Below are 22,678 nucleotides of genomic sequence, written 5' to 3'. Positions count from 1 at the left end.
AAATGTTAGCCTCCAAGTTCCCTCCCCAGAGGCAGCCACTGGCCCCGGTGTCATACAGGCCCCTTCAGATAGTCTGGGTGTACCCCTTTTGTTACACAAGTGGGGCCCACAGTACACGTTTCTGCATTTTGCTTTGTGCCTGTATGATGGAGGTTGTTCCATGATAGCACATGGAATTGCCTCATTTCAAAAATGATAGCTGTATAGAATTCTGTTGAATGGAGGTACTTTTTTTTTTTTTTTAATTATTATTAAATTAGTCCCCTGTTGATGGACACTGAGGTTGTGCCCATCTTTTGCCATTACAAATCATGGTGGGACAGACACATGCCACTTCATACCTGTAAGTTTATTCATTTCTGGGAATGGAATTTCTGGGTTAAAGAGTGTATGTATTTGTAATTTTTCATTAATGTTTCATAACATGACAAATACAAATGCATTCTTCTTGTAGAAAATTAATGCATTGTGGATGAGGTAACCTACCCCTTCGTGTTCCTGGTTGCCTCCAGCCCCAGTTGCTCTTGTTAATAGGCTGGTGTGCAGCTTTCCAGATCTTTCCCTGTGTGTTTGTTCATGTCATTGCCACACATCGATGTGAACCTGCAGCAGTGACATAGCATGCTTTCGAGCACGTGCATTTGTTTTGGTAAAAGATACAGAGCAGAGGCTGGTGGAGCAGGTGGTTAAATCTGTAGGCTTGGGGCTGAGCTCCTGGGTTCAAATTCTGGGTCCCTGAGGGTAAACGTAGGATCACCTAGCATTCTGAGCTGGCTTTGCTCATGGGATGTGTATGTCTGGATAATCTTTTTATGTTGTTTTACACAGTTTCAGGCCCTTCCTTCTGACTTCTGCCTACCATTTTGCAGGGCGATTCTGCTGGAGTTTATACATTCATTCCCTTCTTGATGGGCATCTTGGTGGTTCCTGCCTTTTTCTTTTTCTTCTGGATTTCTCAGCCTCAGCTCTAGTGACATTTGGGGCTTTGTTGTGGGGGATTATCCTATCCTGTGCATTGTAGAATGTTTAGGAGCGTCCCTGGCTCTACCCACCAGCCAAAAGCACCCTCCTCCTCAGTTGTGACAACCAAAAATATCTCCAGACAGTGCCATATGTCCTCAGGGGTGGGGGGTTGGGGCAAGCAAAATTGCCCTCATTTGAAAGTCACTGGTCTGTACTAAGCAGTGCTGCAGGAGCATCCTTCTTTGAGCCTCTCTGTATGTGGGCAAGGTCATCATCATTGTATTCCCATTCCACAGATAAGGAAATGGAGGCTCAGAGGGGTTGAGTCATTTGTCTTGGGTCACACAGCAAATACGTGGCAGAACCAGCATCCCAGCTCTGCCAGGTACAGTTCTGGGCTGAGCTGAGTGTTTAGTGGGTGATGGAACAGACCCGAGCCCCTGTCCTTATGGATCTAACCCTCTGGTAAGAGGCAGACAGTAAGCCGGTCATCAAATACATACATGACACATCAGGTGTCATGTTAGTGACTGAGGATAAGGACGCAAGAGAATTACATTAACAATGTCACCTGACTTTTGGTGACATTTTGCAATAATAGTTGACATGTGAGGGTTTCAATACATTGGGAACTGTACTAAAGAGTTTCACTTAATCAACTCATAGGCTAGTCACAAAAACCCCTATGAGATACTGCAGTGGCTCGCTTCTGTGCCTCAGTTTCTTTATCTGTAAAACAGCTTCCCCATAGGACTGCTGTCTGGTACCCAGCAAGCACTCAATAAATGTTAAATAGCACTGCTGTCTCCCCAACATCCAAGGCCCAGTCCCCGAGGACTGTAGGCAGCCGGGGCCCCTCTTAGGGACCCTGTCCCTGGGCCTCTCCTCAGCCCCTCTCTTTGTCTCCGTGGCCATGGCAACCTGGCTGGGTGCTTGGCACTTCCCGGCCCAGCCCCCAGCCTGACCAGCCGGCCTCCTCCTCTGCAGAGGCTGCCCTGGCAGGCTCCAGCCTGGCTGGGAAGCCACCCCCACCACCCACTGATGGGGGCTCCTGGGCAGTACTGGTGCTGCCCTGCAGTGTGGGAAGGACCCCAAGCAAAGGCTCCTGCTGGGCCTCCTCTCTGCCTCCTGGCCTCTTTCCTTCTGGAGTGGAGAGAGAGCTCTTGTTTTCATTGTCCTGGTTAGCTCTGTCTTCCCAGCTTTGCCTCCAGCTTCCTTCAGGACTCTCTGTCCGCCCCTTGCCTTCCCTCTCTCTGTTTTTCTGTCTCAGTCTCATTCTCTGTGCCCCTATCTCCCTCTGTTTCTCCCTCTCACTGTCTGGCTTCTGATACTTCATTCACAGGCTGGTCCCTGCATCTGAGAATGAGGTGCAGGGCACCTTGAGGTCCCTTCCGTGCTCAGAGACAGGGCCTTGGTTTAGAGGGGCTCGTTTGCAGCTCCCAGTAGCTCAGTGAGAGCCTGCTGCTCCAAATTATGGGGGTGTTCATAAGGGGGTCCTCCCACTCTGTGGGGTAGGGGTCCTCTTGTCCCATGGGGGCTTCTAGTGAGTGAGGGGATCCTTTAGCCCGGTGAGGTCATATTCTGCCTGGTGAGTAAGGGGTTCTTCTCCTGGCCAGACACTTGGGAGGAGATGGGCTACTGAGCCACTTGCTTTGACATCTGAGCCAGCCATGTGAAGGGCTTGGACCTAGAAAACCCAGAATGGTTTCTTCCCATTTCCCTGGGAGTGGACCACTGTGAGTCGTTAAAATCATCATTTATTAATGGCCAGAACTGACCCTTACATATGAATAAGTAATGCTTCCATGTAATGCTCCAGACTTGTAGGGTCCTTGGGGACCCGAGAGGGATCAAGATTAAGAGAAAAGCCATTCCTGTCTGGCCTTTGCCTCGGGCTCAGAGAGAGTAAATGATTTGCCCGAGCAAGGGTTGCAAATCCAGATCCCTATGGCTGTGACCGGTAAAGCAGCCAGTGCAGGAAAAATCACGTAACCCTCTCCCCCTAACTTTGTCTCTCTACTTTCAACATCGATGTGGATATAGAGGAACATCTCTTTACCCTTAATCTCTCTGTACCTTGGTTTTCTCATCTGTAAAATGGGAATAACAAGAATGCCTATCTCATAGGTGTTTCTCTTTTTAATTTTTTAATTGAGTATAATTCACATGCCATAAGGAATTCCCCAAAGTGTCCACTCCAGTGGCTTTTGGTATATTCAGAAGCTTGTGTAACTGTCACTATCTTCTAATTTCAGAACGTTTTAATCACACCTGAAAAACAACCCAAACCCATTGGTAGTCACTCCCCATTATTCCACTTCCCCAATCCCTGGAACCATTAGTCTACTTATTTATGTATGTATGTATTTATTTATTTATTTTGAGACAGTTTCTTGCTCTGTTATCCAGGATGGAGTGCAGTGGCACGATCTCAGCTCACTGTAGCCTCTGCCTTCCGGTTCAAGCAATTCTCCCCCCTCAGCCTTCCAAGTAGCTGGAACTACAGGCGCATACCACCATGTCAGGCTAATTTTTGTATTTTTAGTAGATATGGGGTATCGCAATGTTGGCCAGGCTGGTCTCGAACTCCTGACCTCAAGTGATCCACCCAACTTGCCTCTCAAAGTGCTGGGATTACAGGCATGAGCCACCATGCCTGGCCCACTAATGTACTTTCTATCTCTACAGATTTGGACATTTCATATAAATGGATATAAATGGAATCATACTATGTGTGTGTGTGTGTGTGTGTGTGTGTGTGTGTGTGTATTTTTTTTTTTTTTGTATCTGGCTTCTTCCACATTGTAATATGTGTCAGAATTTCATTCCTTTTTTATGGCTGTATCATATTCCATTATATGGATATACATTTTGTTTATCCATTCATTAGCTGATGGACATTTGGGTTTTGACAGTTTGGCTACTATGAATAATACTGCTATGCACATGAGTGTACAAGTTTTTGTATGGAGATAGTTTTTATTTCTCTTGGGCTTTTACCTAGGAATGGTCTCATAGGTTTCTTGGGACGATTGAGTGAGTTCATAAAGTACAGCTCTCAGAACAGAGCCTGGGACAGCGCGGGTGCTAGATGTGTGTTAGCTCCTTTTTTTTTGAGATGGAGTTTTGCTCTTGTTGCCCAGGCTGGAGTGCAGTGGCGCGATCTTGGCTCACAGCAACCTCTGCCTTCTGGGTTCAAGTGATTCTCCTGCCTCAGCCTCCTGAGTAGCTAGGATTACAGGCATGAGCCACCATGCCCAGCTAATTTTGTGTTTTTAGTAGAGACCGGGTTTCTCCATGTTGGTCAGGCTGGTCTCGAACTCCTGACCTCAGGTGATCCACCTGGCCTCCCAAAGTGCTGGGATTACAGGCATGAGCCACCACGCCTGGCCTTAGCTCTTATTTTTATAAAACAATGCCTCAAGCCCTGGGCCTTGGATGTTGGGGAGACAGCAGTGCTATTTAACATTTATTGAGTGCTTGCTGGGTGCCAGACACCAGTCCTATGGGGAAGCTGTTTTACAGATGAAGAAACTGAGGCACAGAAGTGAGCCCCCACAGGCAGGCCCCCAACCCCAATCTGTGCCTTCTGGAGCACATGTCCCATGTCAAGCAAGCAGCCACCTCTCAGCCCCAGGCAGCAGTCCCCGTGCGGGAACTCGAGCCCGGTATTGCCAGATCTCTTGACTTCTTAAAGACATTTTCCAATGGCAGGAAATGTGGAGTTTTTGGTATGAAATCACTCGATTTTTAAAAGTTGGCAACTCAATCACATTTTTAACAAACACTTCATGGGCCAAACCAAACATGACTGTGGGCCAAACCTGTGGGTTGCCAGTTTGCATACTCTGCCCCCGGGTTGACTTGTTGCTGGTGGTGAGGACTTTGCTGGACACTGAACTTGATTTCAAACATTTCTGAACCTTGGGCACCCCTCTTTCCTGGGGAGTTCTGGCTCTTGTCCGTTTCAATTGTGTTGAAACCTGACCCATCACTGGGACGGTGGGCTTGTTGAGGACCCCCATGGCAGCTGGTCATCTTGGGATTCCTCCCTGTCACCCCCCAGGGTCATAAAACGAGACTTGCTCATATTGGGTGCTTATTCTGTAGTCCTTGACTTTACCCCTCACCAGCAGGGTGACCTTGGGGCAAATGACTTGACCTCTGTGCCTTGGTTTCCCCAGCTATGAAACGGGTAATAATAACACCTCCTCTGGGTTTGATGCAGCACTTAGGACAGCGTCCAGCACGTGGTAGGAGCTCAGTCATGTCAGCCACCGTTATTATTACACACAAATGCACAGACGTGCAGACACAGCAATGCCAGGCTCTGCCATCTGGCAGCAGCAGCGCGAAGGTAACGATTTATTTCTGTGTGCTTTGTCTGTCTGTGTTTACCGAAGGGAGTGATATTAGTGTGTGTGTGTGTGTGTGTGCATGAATCTGCACAGTTCCAAGTCAGCTAGCTGGGGTGCCGTTTTCTGCATGCATATCTCCTTGCATAAGTACAGTGTATGCATTATTCATGCACATGCGCACACTCTCACCCTCTCACATATTCCTGGGAATAAATATGTGTTGGGGTTCCCGGGTGGTGATAGCAGTCACCTGAGCAGCCAGTAATGTTTCAGTTGACTGGGGAGGGTGGGAGCTGATGGGGACAGGGTGGGTAGAGGTAAGCAGATGTTCTGGAGAATCTGGGTGGCTGCTGCTGGGGATGTTGGGATATGGCAGGGAAAGTGTTGAGTGCACTGAGGGCTGGGCTGTGGGACTTGGGTGCAACCCACAGCTTGTGGCTGTGGCTGTGGGGAAAGGTGCTGGGATTTGACTTTCACTGTCTCGGCATTCAGTGTTGGAGTGGATGGAACAGCCAGGCTTCCTCTAGGGCGTGCCTAACAGGCCCCTGATCCTTTCTCTGCCTCCCTTCACCTTCCCTTTCTTCTCTTCAGCATATTGCAGGCTCTAATTTAGGCAAAAACTCCTCAGAGTCTAAGAAAAGCTGAAGCATGCAGAATGAGCACAACAGAATTTAGCTGTCTCGAGAGGCAGCCTGGACCATTGAATTTATCTTTTTTTTTTCCGCACTCATGTTGAAGACTTTTTTTCCCTGTTAAACTTCTTAAATTACCTTGCAGCCCTCCACCCTCCTTTTTCCTTGGAGCCTGGGGAGAGTGGAGCCTTTTGTTCCTCTGTTTCCTCTCTTCCGTTCCTACTTTCGGGGGAGGCTCGTGGAACTTGAGGTTGCTTCTGAAATAGAGAGGTGGTTAGACTGGGTCAGCCCTAGAATGGATTTGACAACTTACTCATCATATTGTTAGCTGACACTTACCAAGCACTTAGGATGCATCCGGCTGTGTCCTGAGCATTCTGCATTCATTAACTGACTTATTTCTTCTGGCTGCCTTGATGGAAGTGTTCCTATTGTCCCATTTCACAGTCCAGGAGACTGGGGCACAGAGAGGTTTTGTCACATGCCCAGGGTTCCTCAGCGAGGAAAGGCTGAGCCAAGTCATGAACCAGCAGTCTGACTTCAAAGCCCACACTCTTAACTACAGCACTCTACTACTTCTTTGCTAATGGGTTCATTCAGCATATTGGTTGAGCACCTACTACGTGCCAGGCCCATTTTTCTCCTTCTTTCCTCCCCTTCTTCACTTCATTCTTTTTCTCCCTTCTTCTTTCCTCCTTATCCATCACCCATCCATCTCCCCACCCACCCACCTGTCCATCCATCTGTCCATCCATTTGTCATCCGTCCGTCTGTTCATCTGTCCGTCCAGTATTTCCTGCAATATACTCATTTCAGTATCAGTCTTATGATTTGTATAATATTCAAATACCAGTCACAACATTGTCTATATAATATTTTTACTCAATCTGAACCTCCTCCCTTTTTAAAAACTTTATAGTCTCAGCTTAATAATGTTCATGAAATAATGGTTTTGATATGATAGCCATAGTTACTCATATCAACATAAAAATACTCATTTCAAGTGGCTGCGTGGGGGCTGGCTGATAGCCTGGCCCTGCCACAGACAAGCTGTGTGACTCTGGGCAGGTGACTCCGCTCCCTTATCTATAGCACGGGGAGACTAATGATACCCACTGCTAAGGGTGTTGTATTAAATGAGATAACCATATGAACGTGCTTAGAGCAAGCCCACTGGCCCATCCTGAGCTCTCAGCAAGCCCTGACTGTTGATGATGTTGTTATTACCATCATTATTACTCAGAAAACCTCTGTGGTGAGGAGCAGAGTCAGGGCCTGAGGCTCTGCAGGTTGTCCCGTGATGAAGGTGGATGGAGATGTTGAGGAAGCAGATGGTAGATCGCACTGTGAAGTTGGGTGAAGCTGGGAACCTTCCATGACATTGGAGGAACTTGTTCCATTCTGAATTGGTGGTTATTTGGAAGGGGTAGACATGGCCGAACTTTGAAGGTTCTAGCTAAAGTCAGGGTTTTATTTAATCCTTGCATGGTGGGGCTCAATGTGTGAGTGAGTGTCTTAGTCTATCTTCTGTTGCTCATAACAGAATACCTGAAACTGGGTAATTTATAAAGAAAAGAAACTTTCTTCTTACAGTTATGGAAGCTGAGAAGTCCCAGGTGGAGGGGCCACATCTGGTGAGAACGTTCTTGGGGGTTCTAAAGAGACTCGAGGCAGTTTAGGGAATCACGTGGCAGGGGGGCTGAGCACACTAACACGCCAGCTCAGGTTTCTCTTCCTCTTCTTACAAAGCCACCGGTTCCACTCCCATGATACCCCATTCATCCATTAGCCCGTTAATCCGTGAATGCATTAATTCATTCATGAGGGCAGAGCCTCTTATGAGCCAGTCACCTCTTACAGGCCCCACCTCTGAATCTTGCCACAGCGGGTATTTGTTTCCAACACATGAAATGTGGGGGATGCCTTCAAACCATAGCAGTGACTGAAAACCCAAACCAGTCAGACTCATATAAGAGAAGAAGTATAATAGCCCATGAAGCTAGACCTACAGCTTCAGGTAGAGTTTGATCTAGGGGCTCAACGTACAAAGAATTGGCTTCATCCTGTGCTCTGTGTGCCTCAGGTGGGGGATGAGCAACACCTTTCAAGCAGCATCAGGGTACTTTACGGTAAAATGAGGGAATAGAAGCTGGTGGCCAAAGAGCTGAAGCCTGCCATCATCCTCAGGGCCAGAGCTTCTTTGAAAGAGGGGAGCTTCCTGTTTGAGGGTGGTAGGTGGGCATTTGGGTCCAAGCTCTGTGTTCTGCTACTGAGATTTCTGAAGGACATTTGAGGGCTGCTTTCATGACTCATCTTTGAATGAATTCACTCACCCAGGTTACATCATATCTCCAAACATCTGCCTCTATCCTGCAAAAGGCTCGAGGACACTGCCCGCCTGTTCCCTGGGTGGTGGGGCTTTCTTAGCAGCAAAATGTTCCCGGCTTACAGAAAACTTCCCACGGGCCTTTTAAATCCATCAAGTGAATTACAAGTTCAATTTGGGTTTGCACACATTCTCTCATGGTCCCCCGCTCTAGGGCTGGATGTGGCTGATTCCTGGGTGCGTTAATCTCGAAGCCTCCGCCATCTGCAAGTGAAGTTTAGCTCCCACATCGGCAGTTTTCCTGCCTTGCCTTTGCTTGTGTATATGTGACTTCCCTAATTTTGAGGTTTCTTAAAAACAGAGAAGATAAAACAAACCACAGCCATATTTCCCTCCTCCAGCATCTGGTGGCCACTTGTAATTTGTAATGTTGGGGAAAAAAAGTGTTTTGATCATTTTTCAAAATTAGACTTAAAAAATGTATCATTGGGTGTTCCTGTGTTAAAAGTTTGTTTTTTCTTTTCAGAACATTTTGCAACCAGACTTCTTTAGGGGTTTCCTTAGTCCTTCTTCTGTTCTCCAGATCAGCTTATAAAATTCCTTGCAAAAATGTTTTTTTGTTTTGTTTTGTTTTTTGTTTTATGGTTGCTTTTTTTTTTTTTAATGTAAGGGGGAAGACGAGGGTTTTCGTCGTCCTGCTTACATAAATCCATAATGTGGGGAGCAGCAGAGAGAGTAAATGAGCTCGAGAGTGCTCAGGCCTCTGAAACATTCTCTTGTGGACCCCGGCTGGCCGGGGGCTGTTTGCTGCCAGCGGGCATTCGCTGTTCCTTCAAACACTTGTAATGTGTGATGTTTTGGAATCAGCCTTTTTTCTTTCTTTCTTTTTTTTTTTTGTTTGTTTATAAAGGACCTTTATGATGTCTTTGAAAAGAAATCACTAGACAGAGCCAGCTTTTACATGATTATGAGATTTATGTATTCATAAGTGCCGTGTCGTCCTGGGATCGGGGGAAGCAGACACGAGTGTCAGGGTCTGTTTCCAGGGCTAAAAGGAAGAATCCTCCCCAGGCCTCCTCAGGGAGGGCCAGGGTTGAGGGGCGGTGGGCACTGTCGCCCGTCACCATGGTGAGGAAGGAGGGTGTCAGGAATGGCCTTCCAGCCCGCTTCTCGCAGCCTTTGCTGGACGTTTCTAGCCACCAGTGAGGCCCAGAGAATGGGTCCCCAGAGGGTCATCAGCATCTTATGCTCAAGGGGGCTTCTGAGAGGTTCTTGGAGTGTGTTGTGGGGAGGGGGGGCTGGGAGGGTCAGGAGTCGCATCCTTGTGACCTCTTGTCCTTCCCACGCCTCCTCCTCTTTCCCTCCCCTCCACCTCTCCCTTTCCTCTCCTCCCTACCCTCCTCTCTCTTTCTCTTTCTCTCTCTCTTTTTCTTTCTTTCTCTCTCTCTCTTTTTCTTTCCTTCCTTCTCTTTCTTTTCTTTTCTACTCTTCTCTTTTTTTTCTTTTCTTTCTTTCTCTTTTTTTTTTGACAGAGTCTTGCTTTGTGACCCAGGCTGGAGTGCAGTGGCATGATCTTGGCTCACTGCAACCTCTGCCTCCCGGGTTCAAGCGATTTTTCCCACCTCAGCCTCCTGAGTAGCTGGGATTACAGGTGTGCACCACCACACCTAGCTAATTTTTGTATTTTTAGTAGAGATCTGGTTTTGCCATGTTGGCCAGGCTGGTCTCGAACTCCTGACCTCAGGTGATCCACCTGCCTCGGCCTCCCAAAGTGCTGGGATTATAGGCGTGAGCCACCGTGCCCGGCCCCCATCCTCCCTTTTCTACCCTATCCCGTTTCCCCGCCACTTTCTTTCTCTCCTGCTCTCCCTCCTCTCCCTGAGTCTCCTTGTTGGTCATGTCTTGGGCCCAGGTTCTAGGGTCTCTGTAGGATGGGTCCCCAAGGGTAGGTTTGCCTAGCCCTTTAGAAAGTCCAAAACCTACATGCCCTGAAAGGAGGCAAATAGATTTGTTGCTTATTTGTCCTCCAAGGGGGTCCAGCTGCTTACCACCCCCCGCCCCCAGCATGCCACCAGGACCCCTCCCAGGGAGTTTTGTTCAGGCCTAGATTCCAGGTTTGACCTCACCTCCCCGACTCACCCCCTTTCTCTGCCCAGAGCCATCCTGGCCCCTGGCTGCTCCTCAGATGCTCGGGTCCAGCCCAGCCCCATTCTCTTCCTGCTGTGATCCATGAGCCCGCTCAGGCCCCACTGTCTTCATGGACCCTCCTCATGGCCTTTTCTGAACCCCCTGCTGGAAGGCACCGGCCCATCCATCCCGGCTCTTTCTGCCCTGTGGCTTTGCCTGCTGCTGTGTTGTCTGTCTCCCTTTGCTAGAGGTAAGCTCTGTCTTCCTGTGCCCTCCGTCTCCACCGCCTGCCACATGATGGGGGCTCGTCAGTATTTATGGAATGAATTTGGGGACATTGGTGCACTTTTTTTTTCCTGCTGATGCCTTGGATCAAAACCCTCTGAGTGCACAGGCTTACTGAGGGAAAGCAGAGGGGCTGCTGGCACCGGTGGAGGTGGTGACATCTTGAAGGTTGGAGGTAAAAGCCCAAAGAGACTGGCCAGCTGGGACAGGTACTTCTGTAGGGTGAGAGGGGGTGTCCCTGGAGTCCGAACATCAGCGATGAGGCCTGAGCTCAGCCCTGGCTGGCCGCTCTGCTATCTGGTGCCAGGCTCTGTGGATGAGTTTGGGGAACCTTGGGTGGTCACAGTGGCTGGAGCCAAGCCTTGGCACCACCAGGGGGTCCCACCCAAAGCCAGTTTCTTGAGCAGAATGGATGGCAGTGGAGGTACCAGTGGCGCTCAGCATCTTTGCAGCTTCGATGAGTGGGCCCTAAAGGTGTCCTCTGGGCTGGTGTTGGCTGCCACCCATCACAGGTGTGGGAGCGGGGCAGCCACTGCTGGTAAACCTCCTGTGGGCTTGTCAGAGGAGACCCCAGGCAGGAAGTAGGCTGACAGGCAGATCAGCACTTTAAAAAAATATGCTTCATCGAAATAGAAATTATATCTGGCTGGGTGCAGTGGCTCACGCCTGTAATCCCAGCACTTTGGGAGGCTGAGGCAGGCGAATCACCTGAAGTCAGGAGTTCCAGACCAGCCTGGCCAACATGGTGAAACCCCATCTCTACTAAATATACAGAAATTAGGTGGGTGTGGTGGCAGGTGCCTGTAATCCCAGCTACTTGGGAGGCTTAGGTAGGAGAATCGTTTGAACCTGGGAGATGGAGGCTGCAGTGAGCCGAGATCATGCCATTGCACTCCAGCCTGAGTGACAAGAGCGAAACTCGGTCTCAAAAAAAAAAAAGAGAGAAAGAAATAGAAATGATATCTGGAAGAACCTACCCATTTTAAGTATATACTTCAATGAGATTGCACAAGGGAGGGTCTGCTGGCTACACACAGGGAGCTGTGGCTGCTTCTGTCCAGCCAGTGGAGTGGGAAGGAGCTGCTGTGGGCTCAGGTGGGGTCAGGAGGACCCAGGACATTTAATTCCCAAGGTTTCATGCCCAGTCGCCCACTTGCCTTTCTCTTCTGGTGGGCTCCCAGTTCCTGTGGGCAGGTCGGCTTCTTGACCCCCAGAAAAGGGGCTTCTTTAGGGAAGAGGGGGAGGCCTTTCGGTCCAGCAGTGTGCAGATCAGGACGGCCTCACTGTCACAGAATAATTGTTACCAAAATGAGGCCTGCTGCTGAGAACTCATTGAAAATGGGCCCTAACATAGCAATATTGAGAATGTGGGGTGGCGGGGGTAGAGTCTAGATGAGTCCTTCACTTTGAAGAAGAAAACCACAATCCTAAAAATAGGTGGAATTTTATCCCGTCAGTAACTGTATTTAGAATGTAATAACAACATTGCATGAATTCTTAGAATCAACAAGGAGGGAACCAAGTGTTATTTTTTACTGTTGGGGGTATGTGTAATTTTTCTGATAAAATTAAATGATTACACGATGCCACATCATTCATGTAAGGTTTCACTTTATAGCATGATGATAAAGAGTCATTTTGCAAAACCCCTGGAGCCCGTTTTTGGACTTCTTGTGCACTCTCTGATGGTCAGAAAAGTTCCTTTGGAACTTCTTATGTGGTCTTCCTGGGCTTTCTTCACTCTCATTGTGAGCCAGCGACTCCTGGGTCTTTATTTGTTTATAGCTTTGCCTGGCAGCCAGCTGTGGTTCTCCAGCATCACTTTCACTGATGTCATAAAACCCTGCATCTTTTGCAGGATTTGCAGTTTCCTTTTGCAACTGATTTGCTTTCCGTTCACCTTGTGTTGTGACTGTGGTATATTCAGGAGCGTGAGATCCATAAAGACATGGAGGGGACATTAGCAGGTGAGCTGTTTGAGCAGGAATCACTTTAGAAGTGGCCAGCTCATTTGGGGTATTTTGAAGACAATGACTTTTCTTCCTTGGGGTACTTGGGTAACAGGTAGTGGTGAAGTGGATACTGAAGAAACATTTTAAGATGTGTCTTTGTTCTGGGAGATGCTGCTGAGTAGTCGAGACCAATCTCACTCCTGAGACAGGCAGGGTATGATTGAGACACGGTGTCAGGGTGCTGTGGGCTCTCGGTTTTCCTCCCGTACATCTGCTTAGGTCCTTTGTTATTTCTCCTCTGCCTCCTGGGTTCCGATGGTTTGGGGGTGCCAGCCCCCACCTGTGGGCCTCTTCTCTTCCTGGTGATGTCACTTGTGTCCTTTGTACCATCCCCACCTCTGGATTGCACCCGGGTATGGCCACTGTCTCTTTGCCATTGCTACTTGGATCTAAAATAACACCTGAAACTACACATGTGCTGAACCAAATTCCTCATCTTGCCCCTGTAACTGGTTCCTCCCTCTCTCTCTCATCTCAGCTAATGGCACCTCCATTCTTCCACTTGCTCAGGCCAAAAACTTCGGAGTCACTCTCCATCCTCTGTTTCTGTCTCACCATCCCATCCAGTGGCCAGTCTCATTGTTCTGCCTTCCAAGCCTCTCATCCTCACTACCCTCTCTGCCACCACCCCATCTAACAGACATTTCCTCTTTCACACACTTTACAAATGGTATTTTCTTTAGTCTTCATTCAACCATATCAGGCATGTATCCTTCTTTTTCATTTCACAAATGAGGATGTTGAAGTTCGGAGAGGTGAAGTCTCTTGCCCAAGGTCACGCAGCTGGTGAGTGGCAGCGCTGTGTAAACCCAGGCAACCTGGTTCCGGAGGCTGTGCTGTTAACCAGCACTCTGGTTTAAGGCCTTCTCCTCTTTTGCTTGGCCTGTTGCTGTAGCCCCGTCACCTCCTACAGTCCTTTTTGTCCACAGCAACCAGAGCGATCTTGCTAACCCCACCTTAGACTATGACACTCGCCTGTTCACTTCTTCTCCCTTGTGATGCCCCTCCTGGGACTCCTCATCACACTGCAGTGAGAGCGAGAATCCTTTATTGAGCCTGCTGCTCCATGGACCCTCTAAACACAGCCCGGCCTCTAGGTTCTTGCCTGTGCTGTTTCCTCTACCTGGGAAGTCCTTTCCCCAGATCTGCCCCTGGCTTGGTCTCCTCATCATGCTTTCAGTTCTGTGCTCAAATTTTCCCTTCTCAGAAGACCTTCCCTGGCCGGCCATTATTTTAAGCCAGACCATCCCAAACCTTTCCTCTACATTTAATGAGACTTTCTCACCACTTTAACAGGACATATTCATAGAAATGGATATATGGGTGTATTAGTCCATTTTCACGCTGCTGATAAAGACATACTCGAGACTGGGTAATTTATAGAGGTAAAGAGGTTTAATGGACTCACAGTTTCACGTGGCTGGGGAGGCCTCACAATCATGGGGGAAGGCAAAAGGCATATCTTAGGTGGGCAAGAGACAATGAGAACCAAGTGAAAGGGGTTTCCTTTTATGAAACCATCAGATCTTGTAAGACTTATTCAATACCACGAGAACCGCATGGGGGAAACTTCCCCCATGATTCAATTATCTCCCACTGTGTCCCTCCCACAACACATGGGAATTATGAGAGCTACAATTCGAGATGAGATTTGAGTGAGGACACAGCCAAACAATATCAGTGACCCAGCCTGACTTTTTCCTTTGCTAATTGTTGACTGAGTCACCCATGAGGACCCTGAGACTCAGCAGGAGAAGGACTTGCCAGACATCTGTGGCCAGGTCAAGGCACAGGTGGTCCCAGAGTCCAAATCTCCTGAGCATTGGCTCCCCTGATTTTTGTATAGTACAAATTCATCACCATCTGTAACAGGGTAAGTCATTTAAAATCTGTGGGCCTCCATTTCCTCAATTGTAACATGTTGCTGTGGTTTGAATGTGTCCCCCAAGGTTCAATTGTTGGAAACTTAATCCTTAATGCAACAGGAAATAGGGCCTAATAGGAGGTGACTGGGTCATGAGGGCATGCAAATTCGTAGCAAATTCATAGCTAGACATTCTCATCTGAGCTTCATAATAGCTCCTGGAGGTGGACCCCTTCCCTGTTTTCAGAAGAGGAAGGGGGAGTCCCTTACCCAGGATTCCACAGTGAGTTTGTGGCAGGGCCTGGGTTCAAACCAGGCTGTGTGCTTTTCTAGCTATAGACTCTTGGTGTGGCCATGAAAAACAAATTAGGGGGATGAGGCAGGGGGTGTCTGACTTGGGGACTCTTCTCTGCACCAAGTTCAGAGTTCTTCTTGGGTCTTCTTTTGGGGAGGAGTGGGGTGTCAGCTGTAGGCCAGGGGCTGCACCATTGTGGCCCATGAGTCACATTCCTTGTGTAGTTGTGCATTGTCTGGCCAGTAGGTGATTTGGTTTGGTCAGCACAGGGCTTTAAGAAACTTTTTATTTTGAGATAATTGTAGGCTTACAGAAAACTTGCAAATATAGTACAGAGTTCTTGTACATCCTTCACCCAGCTTCCCATTACGTTGACATTTTATATTACTGTAGTATAATTACCTAAGTACAAAGTACTTCTTTGTAGTAGAAAAAATTAATCTTGATACAGTACTATTAACTATAAGATTCAGTAGAATTTTGTTAGTTTCCCTACAAACGTTCTTTTTATTTTCAGGATCCAACCTAGGGCACCATGTTGCATTTAGATAGCATGGCCCCTTAGTCTCCTGTAATCTGTGAGAGTTCCCCAGTCTTTCTTTGCCTTTCATGACCTTGACACTTTTTTGAAGAGTCCTGGTCAGGTATTTTGTAGACTGTCTGCCACTTTGGACTTGAGCTTATGCGTAATTAGGAGGGATACCCCAGGAGCGATGTGCCCCTCTCTGTGCATTTTAATCAGGGGGCATGTGATGTTGATATGTTCAAGGGGAGATGTTAACACTTAATTAAGATGGTGAAAGCCAGGATACTCCATGGTGAGGTTACTAATTTTCCTTTGTAATTACTAGACATTTTGGGGGAGATTCTTTGAGACTGTGGAAATACCCTGTTTTTGTTTGAACCTTTGCCCACTAGTTTTAGCATCCACCGGTGGGTCTGGCCTGTGATAGCTCTTACTGTGGTCTTCCAGTCGTGGCTTTCTATTTCCTTCACTCCTCCTACTTTTATTAACTAAAATCCTTGTGTAAAAAGAATTCTCCCTGATTCATTCCATTATTTATATTATCATAAACCAGTATTGTCATTATTTATTTTGTTGTTCAAGTTGTCCCAACTTTGGCCATTAGGAGTTCTTTCTGGTTGACCCCGTGCCCTTTTGACATGCCTCCTCTATTTTTTTTCTTCTTTCTCTTTTTTTTGAACATTAAAAAACATTATTTTGTAGAGATGGTAGAGATGGGTCTTGCTGTGTTGCCCAGGCTGGTCTTGAACTGTTGGTCTCAAGCAGTCCTCCTGCTTTGACCTCCCAAAGTGCTGGGATTATAGGTGTGAGCCACTGCACCTGGTCTCTTTTGAGCATTTCTTTACTAGTTGAAATCTAACCACAAGATATTCTGGCTCATCTTGTATTTTCCCTGCCTCAGCCCTGAAATCAACCAGTTCTTTAAGGACCCCTAGCTCTTTTAATTGGAGAATGGTATTTAGAAACCTAATCTGGGCAGTAGTTATGCTCATTGTTACTGGATGCCATGGTATCCAGGAATATATGTATAGACACTTACACAATCTATATTTACTTCTGTATCTTTCTATCTGCACATATATTTGAAAAACCCAGTGTCCATACTGATACCCAGTGTGAAATTTTTCAAACATTTAATTTGACTTTTGAAGCTTACATAGAGTAAAAATGACTTTTTGGGGGTTTAGAGTTTTATGAATTTTAACACATATGTAGAGTTATATACTTACCACTACAGTCTGGATAGAGAAGACTTCCATCACCCAAAAAACACTCTCATGCCACCCCTTAGTAGTCACACCTTCCCCCATCGTTACCCCTGACAACCACTCATCCATTTCCTCTCCCTGTAGTTCTGCCTTTTCTAAAACATACACATTCCGTATAAATGGAATCATGCTGTACACCACCTTTTGAGACTGGCTTCTTTCAGTCACCATAAAGCCTTTGAGATTCATCTGCATTGTTGTGTGTATCAACAGTTTGTTCCTTTTCATTACCGAGTAGTACTCCCTTGTTTGGATATACCACAGTTTGTTTATCCATTCACATGTTGAATTGCTTGTTTCCAGTTTTTGGTGATTTTTAATAGAGCTGCTATAAATATTTATGTATAGCTTTTTGTGTGAACATAAGTTTTCATTTCTCTAGGGTAAACATCCAGGAGCAGGGTTGTTGGGCCATATGGTAAGTAGATATTTGACTTTATGGGAAGCTGCCAAAAAACTTTGTGGGAAGTTTTCCAAAGATGCTGTACTAATTTACTTTCCCCACAGCAGTATAGGAGAGATTCTGTGGTTCCACATCCTCATCAGCACTTGGTATTGTCGGGTTTTTCAAAAGCCGTTTAAGTAGAAGCATAGAGGTATCCCATTGTAATTTTAACTTACATTCTCCTAATCGCTAATGATGCTGCCTATCTTTTCATGTGCATATTTACCATTTATATACTTCTTGGGTGAAGAAAATGTTCAAGTTTTTTAATCCATTAAAAATTTTGGCTTGTTTCCTTTGTTAATTTAGGGTTGTATTCTGAATATAAATCCTTTGTCAGATATGTCATTTGTAAATATTTTCTCCCCATCTGTAGCTTGTCTTTTGTTCTCTTGACAGTGTATTTTGCATGGCAAAAGTTTTCATTTTTGTTCTAATTTATCCCTTTTCTTCTTTTACGGATCTTGCTTTTTTTAATGTCACATCTAAGAACTCTTTTCTTAATCTCAGGTCACAAGGATTTTCTCCTGTTTTCTTCTAAAGTTTTATGTTTTGAATTTAGATCTGTGATCCATTTTGAGTTTACTTTTGTATGAAGTGTGTAGTTTAGGTTGAGGTTCATTAATTTGCATATCGTGTGTGGTTGTTCCAAGATCATTGGTTTAAAGCAACAGTTTAAAAGACTGTCCTTTCTCTACGGAATTGCCTTTGCATCCTTATGAAAAGTCAAACGGCCATATTTGTGTGGGTCAATTCCTGTACTCTCTTTTCTGTTCCATTGATCTGTGTGTCTCCCCTTTCACCAGTACCATATCATCATAATTATTGTAACTTTATAATAGTTCCTTTTTTTTTTTAGAGACGGAGTCTCACTCTGTCACCCAGGCTGGAGTACAGTGGCACCATCTTGGCTCACTGCAACCTCCACCTCCTGGGTTCAAGCGATTGTCCCACCTCAGCCTCTGGAGTAGCTAGGATTACAGGCGTGTGCCATGCCTGGCTAATTTTTTTTTTTTTTTTTTGATTTTTGACTTTTAGTAGAGACGGGATTTCATCCTTTTGGCCAGGCTGATCTTGAACTCCTCACCTCAAGTGATCTGCCCGCCTTGGCCTCCCAAAGTGCTGGGATTACAGGCATGAGCCACTGTGCCTGGCCATAATAATTCTTAAAACTGGATAATGTGAATCCTCCAACACTGTTCTTTTACAGAATTGTTTTGGCTATTCTAGTTTCTTTGCCTTACCATGAACATATTAGAATTAAGTAGCACAGGGTTTTAAAAGTAGGACTTTTTTTTGCAAAAATATGGCTTTCCAATTTCTGTAGGGAAACAGAAATCCGGCTGTACTTTTGCCTGGCGACATTTGATTGGAACACAGTCACAGCTTACCCTTTAGATGGATGTCTGCTCTCCAGTTTGCCACAGTCCCCACCCTTCCCTTTTGTACTACTCCTGGCCAGCTTCACTCAGTCACTTTCCTTGCATGGCTTCTGTTGGCATTGGTGTTTGTAGCCCCTGGTGTAGACGTCTTGGGCACCTCTGGCTGTGGGATCTGAAATACTGATAATCCCGATAATGATGCTGCTGCTGCTGATGATGATGATAGCAACCCCACTTCCAGTCAGAGCTGTGTTTTTGGCATTGTTCTTAGTTCTTGATCCACAGCCTCTCCGCAGGTCTTTGTCACTACAGAGTACTGCTGTCGTTATGCCCATTTTACAGATGTGGATGCAGAGTCTCAGAGAGGTACAGCTGCCGGCCCCAAGCCATACAGCTTGGCTTTGCCGTGACCCTTCAGGCCTTGGTCTTTATATCAGAGTCCATTATGTGTGGTTGTGGCTACCTTGAGACTGTTAACCTCTTGAGGGCAACAGCATTTCAGGTTCTTACCTCCCTGCCTGACTCTAGCTGTCAAGTTTTGTTCTCAGATATTTGTGATGTGATGTTAGGGAGCCTTGGATTCCGCCGGAGGCCCTGTCTGTAGGCACTTCTGGGTGGTAGGCATGGGATCAGCATCAACCGTAATGGTCAGTTCTGAAGGTTGCTGGGGTTGAACAGCCTTCCGTTCACTGTCTGGGTTTGGGATTCCAGCGAAAGCCTTCATACCCTCAAGAGAATGGTGGTGTGTGGCCGGGGGCTCCTGGGCCTCATGCTGGAGGCTGGAGAGTTAGAGAATTGGGGCATGACCAGCTCATGTTGTTCAGACCTGGTCTGGTGTTTGTGCCTCGTGTGGTGTGGCGGGTTTTGGCATCAGAAAGCCTGTATTTAGGCTGTACTTCCCCCTTCCCAGTGTGCCTTTGTGGGCCACTTACCTCACTTCCCCGTTGCTCATAAACGTTAGCTCACTTCCCAGTTGCTAAATAGTTGCCAATAAACAACAGCAACTATTATTATTCATATTGATGAGTGGAATTACTTGTTGACTGGACCAAGGGGCGGGAGAAACCCCTCGGACCTTTCGCACATCGCAGGGTGTTGGAGTGGTTATGGGCCTGGAGTGGAGGTCAGTCTCTGGCTCTGCCACTCGCTGTGTGTGATGCTTTACCTGTGAGTGTGCCTCAGTTTTCTCATCTGTAAAATGGGATTAACAGTACTACCACTGACTCTTAGGAGAAATACGTAGCACAGAGCCTGGCACAGGGTAGCTGCTTCCTGAATGCCTGCTGTTCTGATTTTTTGTGTTAATGCTGAATCTTCACGTGTGCCCGCATAGTAGGCATTGGTCTCCCTTCCAGAGAGGAGACTGAGTGGCCATGGGAGCAAATACCTCAGTGACTGGACACTAAGTAGTTTCCAGGCAGAGAGCAAAGTAGAGGCCTCCAGCCCTACAAGCAGTGTTCTGGAATTCAGGGGCCTGCTGGGTTTTCCGAGGGCCTGTGAGTCATGTGCTTTAGAAAGGAGCCTGAGAAACTCTGTCCCCAGCCCCGCCCCGTGGACTCCCCCTCTGAAGTGATGCCTGGCTTCCAGGCTCCAGCGGCTGGTTGCCAAGGAGTCCAGCTGCCATCCCCTCCCACAGCTGCTAAGCAGGCATCTGGTTGCCAGGTGCCACCTCCTTGGACATCTTGGCTCTCAGAGCGCCTGTCTCGGCTGTCTGAGGGGGGCGGGGTCCATGGGGGACATTGGACTTTAGAACCTGGGAGGCTGTTGGGGTGTAGGGGCCAGAGCAGCCCTGAGGTTGTGGTCCAGGATGACCCGGACTCTAGCTTCACTCTTTTAGCCTCATTCCTCATTAGATGCCCCTGCAGGAGGCTGGGCAGGACTTGTGTCCCCATTTTACAGAGGGGGAAAATAAGCCTCAGGGGGTGAGGGGAGTCTCCAGCTGGGCCTTGGGGTCCTCTACCGTCCAGGGGAAAGGTCACTGTGCTCACCTCCATTGGTGAGGATGTGATGCTTGTCTCTTCCCCCTGCTTGTTAGATGTGAGAGCCCTCCTTCCTCAGGGCCTTGCCTGCTGAGCTTACAACAGAACCCTGTCTCCTTAGCTGCACCTCTGGCCCCCACCTACCTTCTTGCCCAGATTTCCAAAACCGCCTGTATTAGTCCATTTTCATACTGCTGATAAAGACATACCCGACACTGGGCAATTTACAAAAGCAAGAGGTTTAATGGACTTACAGTTCCACACACCTGGAGAGGCCTTAAAATCGTGGTGGAAGGCAAGGAGGAGCAAGTCACATTTTACATGGATGGCGGCAGGCAAAGAGAGAGCTTGTGCAGGGAAACCGCACCTTATAAAGCCATCTGATCTCTTGAGACTTATTCACTATCACGAGAACAGCACGGGAAAGACCTGCCCCCATTTAATTACCTCCCATTGCATCCCTCCCATAACATGTGGGAACTCAAGATGAGATTTGGGTGGGGACACAGCCAAACCATATCACCCCCTGCCTGAGTCCCCTTTCCCAGTCCTTACTCTCACCTGTTCACTCTGCTCCAGCCATTGTGGTCTCCTTGTTGTCCCTGTGCACCAAGCAGGCCCCTGCTGCCCCACTGCCCATGGTGTGCTCTCCCTTGGTAACCCATGGCTTACCTCCTTACCTCATCTGGGTCTCAGCTGGACGTGTTCTTATCAGGGAGGCTTTTCCTGGCCACCACATTTAAAAAAGCACCCGTCTCCTTGCTTTATCTCTCCCTTTCCTGCTTGATTTCTTCGTAAGGCTTCGCAGTCTATTCTGGTGAATCTCCCTGGCTCCAGCTCCACCCCTGTAGAATATCAGCTCCGTGAGGGCAGGAGCTTCATCTCTTTTGTTCATGCTCATCCCCAGGGCCTACAGCAGTGCCTGTCCTTCTGGACGTGCTACATGCGTCATTTGCCGAGAGAACCAATGAGTGCCTGGTGTGGTCAGGGATGCAGGAGCAGCGTGTGCGGTGGTGGAAACCGTGTGAGCAAGGGTGTGGTATAGGTGCCTGTTTCCCCAAAGCTGAGGCTGGAAGCAGGTTCCTGTCTCCCACTGGCTAGTACCTGCTTCTCTTTTCGGAGGGTAGTGGCCCCTGCCACCCTGCAGAGCCATTTAACGCTGAATTCAGCCTCGCTCTGTGGAAAAACACCTTGCCCCATGGCAGGCTGAGGCTGTGCGTTTCCATGGAGTTCCTGTTTTGACCTGATGGAAAATCTCTGTGGGCCACCATGTGCCTGGCCAGGGCAGCGGAGGGGCCGGAGATTTGCCTGGATCTGTGGCCTCAGCCAGTGGTTTCAGCCGTGCGGGTCCAGCCACTCCCTGCCCTGTCACATCCTTCCAGCTTCCCTGGCAAAGCAGCTTCTCACTGAGGCTGGAAGGAGGTGCCCAGGTTGGGGGAGAGAGGTGGGCATCTTTATCTGGGTTTCCAGAGCCTGACACACCCTGAAAACATGGCAGAATCACCCTCTTTTATGAATGTAGAAACTGAGGCAGGGAGTGGTGAAGGCACCAGCTTCAGGCCATGCAACAAGAAAAGGGTAGGTCTGGGATTTGAAGCTATCTCTGTCTGACCCCAGAGCTCTGAACCCCAGAAACCACACTTCCTTCATTCTCGGGCTCTGTCCTCACTGGATGTGAAGTGGGAGGTGAAGTGATGAGGAAAGTGGAAGACACACAGAGATAGCAGCTTTCAACCCCTCCCTCGTGTGTCCCCAGCTCCTCAGCCTTCAGGCCTCCGCTCTGGTGTCCTCCTCCAGGCAGCCTTCACTGAATGCCTCTGCCTAGGTCACCCTGCCCAGCACTCAGCACGATTGCAGTTGAATGCACATTGTGCAAGGATTTGCTGACGGACGGTCTGTCTCCTTCACCAGACTGCCTTGCGTGAGGTCAGACTTAAAATGTCCGAGATTGAACTCTCTACCCGCCCCCCAAACCACAGTCTTCCTGTCTCAATAAAAGTGGCCTTCATCCTTGCCAGTGGTACAGGCCAGAAACCAGGGAGACGGCCTCGACTTCCCTCTCTCTCGTCCCTCACATCCCATCTCTCAGAAAATCCCGTGGGCTCTGTCTTGGAATACCTCTGGATTCTGACCACAGCTCACCACCACCCTGGTCAAATCCTCCATCACCTCCCGCCTGGACGATTGCAGGAGACTCCTCCTGAGCTCCCTGCTAC

General features: G+C 47.9%; 1 protein-coding gene across 4 annotated transcripts in view, besides 9 other annotated features; it reads left to right on the top strand.

Moving 5' to 3' along the window:
* PREX1 (phosphatidylinositol-3,4,5-trisphosphate dependent Rac exchange factor 1) overlaps positions 1-22,678 on the top strand; it is a 263,934-nt gene that overhangs the window by 91,637 nt on the left and 149,619 nt on the right. The gene's annotated exons all lie outside the window — the stretch shown is intronic.
* Positions 1,396-2,049: an enhancer, noted in NCBI's record as "H3K4me1 hESC enhancer chr20:47411037-47411690 (GRCh37/hg19 assembly coordinates)". NCBI's record gives its function as "activates a minimal SCP1, AML or CMV promoter by ChIP-STARR-seq in primed H9 embryonic stem cells {active_cell/tissue: H9 hESC(primed)}" and the evidence as "EXISTENCE:reporter gene assay evidence [ECO:0000049][PMID:30033119]".
* Positions 2,050-2,705: an enhancer, noted in NCBI's record as "H3K4me1 hESC enhancer chr20:47410381-47411036 (GRCh37/hg19 assembly coordinates)". NCBI's record gives its function as "activates a minimal SCP1, AML or CMV promoter by ChIP-STARR-seq in primed H9 embryonic stem cells {active_cell/tissue: H9 hESC(primed)}" and the evidence as "EXISTENCE:reporter gene assay evidence [ECO:0000049][PMID:30033119]".
* Positions 6,252-6,351: a silencer, noted in NCBI's record as "silent region_12987". NCBI's record gives its function as "represses an Ori minimal core promoter by ATAC-STARR-seq in GM12878 lymphoblastoid cells {active_cell/tissue: GM12878}" and the evidence as "EXISTENCE:reporter gene assay evidence [ECO:0000049][PMID:35858748]".
* Positions 7,231-7,330: an enhancer, noted in NCBI's record as "active region_18045". NCBI's record gives its function as "activates an Ori minimal core promoter by ATAC-STARR-seq in GM12878 lymphoblastoid cells {active_cell/tissue: GM12878}" and the evidence as "EXISTENCE:reporter gene assay evidence [ECO:0000049][PMID:35858748]".
* Positions 7,431-7,490: an enhancer, noted in NCBI's record as "active region_18044". NCBI's record gives its function as "activates an Ori minimal core promoter by ATAC-STARR-seq in GM12878 lymphoblastoid cells {active_cell/tissue: GM12878}" and the evidence as "EXISTENCE:reporter gene assay evidence [ECO:0000049][PMID:35858748]".
* Positions 8,071-8,130: an enhancer, noted in NCBI's record as "active region_18043". NCBI's record gives its function as "activates an Ori minimal core promoter by ATAC-STARR-seq in GM12878 lymphoblastoid cells {active_cell/tissue: GM12878}" and the evidence as "EXISTENCE:reporter gene assay evidence [ECO:0000049][PMID:35858748]".
* Positions 12,455-12,504: an enhancer, noted in NCBI's record as "active region_18042". NCBI's record gives its function as "activates an Ori minimal core promoter by ATAC-STARR-seq in GM12878 lymphoblastoid cells {active_cell/tissue: GM12878}" and the evidence as "EXISTENCE:reporter gene assay evidence [ECO:0000049][PMID:35858748]".
* Positions 13,205-13,294: an enhancer, noted in NCBI's record as "active region_18041". NCBI's record gives its function as "activates an Ori minimal core promoter by ATAC-STARR-seq in GM12878 lymphoblastoid cells {active_cell/tissue: GM12878}" and the evidence as "EXISTENCE:reporter gene assay evidence [ECO:0000049][PMID:35858748]".
* Positions 14,715-14,764: an enhancer, noted in NCBI's record as "active region_18040". NCBI's record gives its function as "activates an Ori minimal core promoter by ATAC-STARR-seq in GM12878 lymphoblastoid cells {active_cell/tissue: GM12878}" and the evidence as "EXISTENCE:reporter gene assay evidence [ECO:0000049][PMID:35858748]".

This window comes from Homo sapiens, chromosome 20, assembly GCF_000001405.40.
Source record: "Homo sapiens chromosome 20, GRCh38.p14 Primary Assembly".
Classification (NCBI taxonomy): domain Eukaryota; kingdom Metazoa; phylum Chordata; class Mammalia; order Primates; family Hominidae; genus Homo; species Homo sapiens.
Note: the sequence above shows the minus strand (reverse complement) of the source record. Positions and strands in the feature narration are given on the sequence as shown.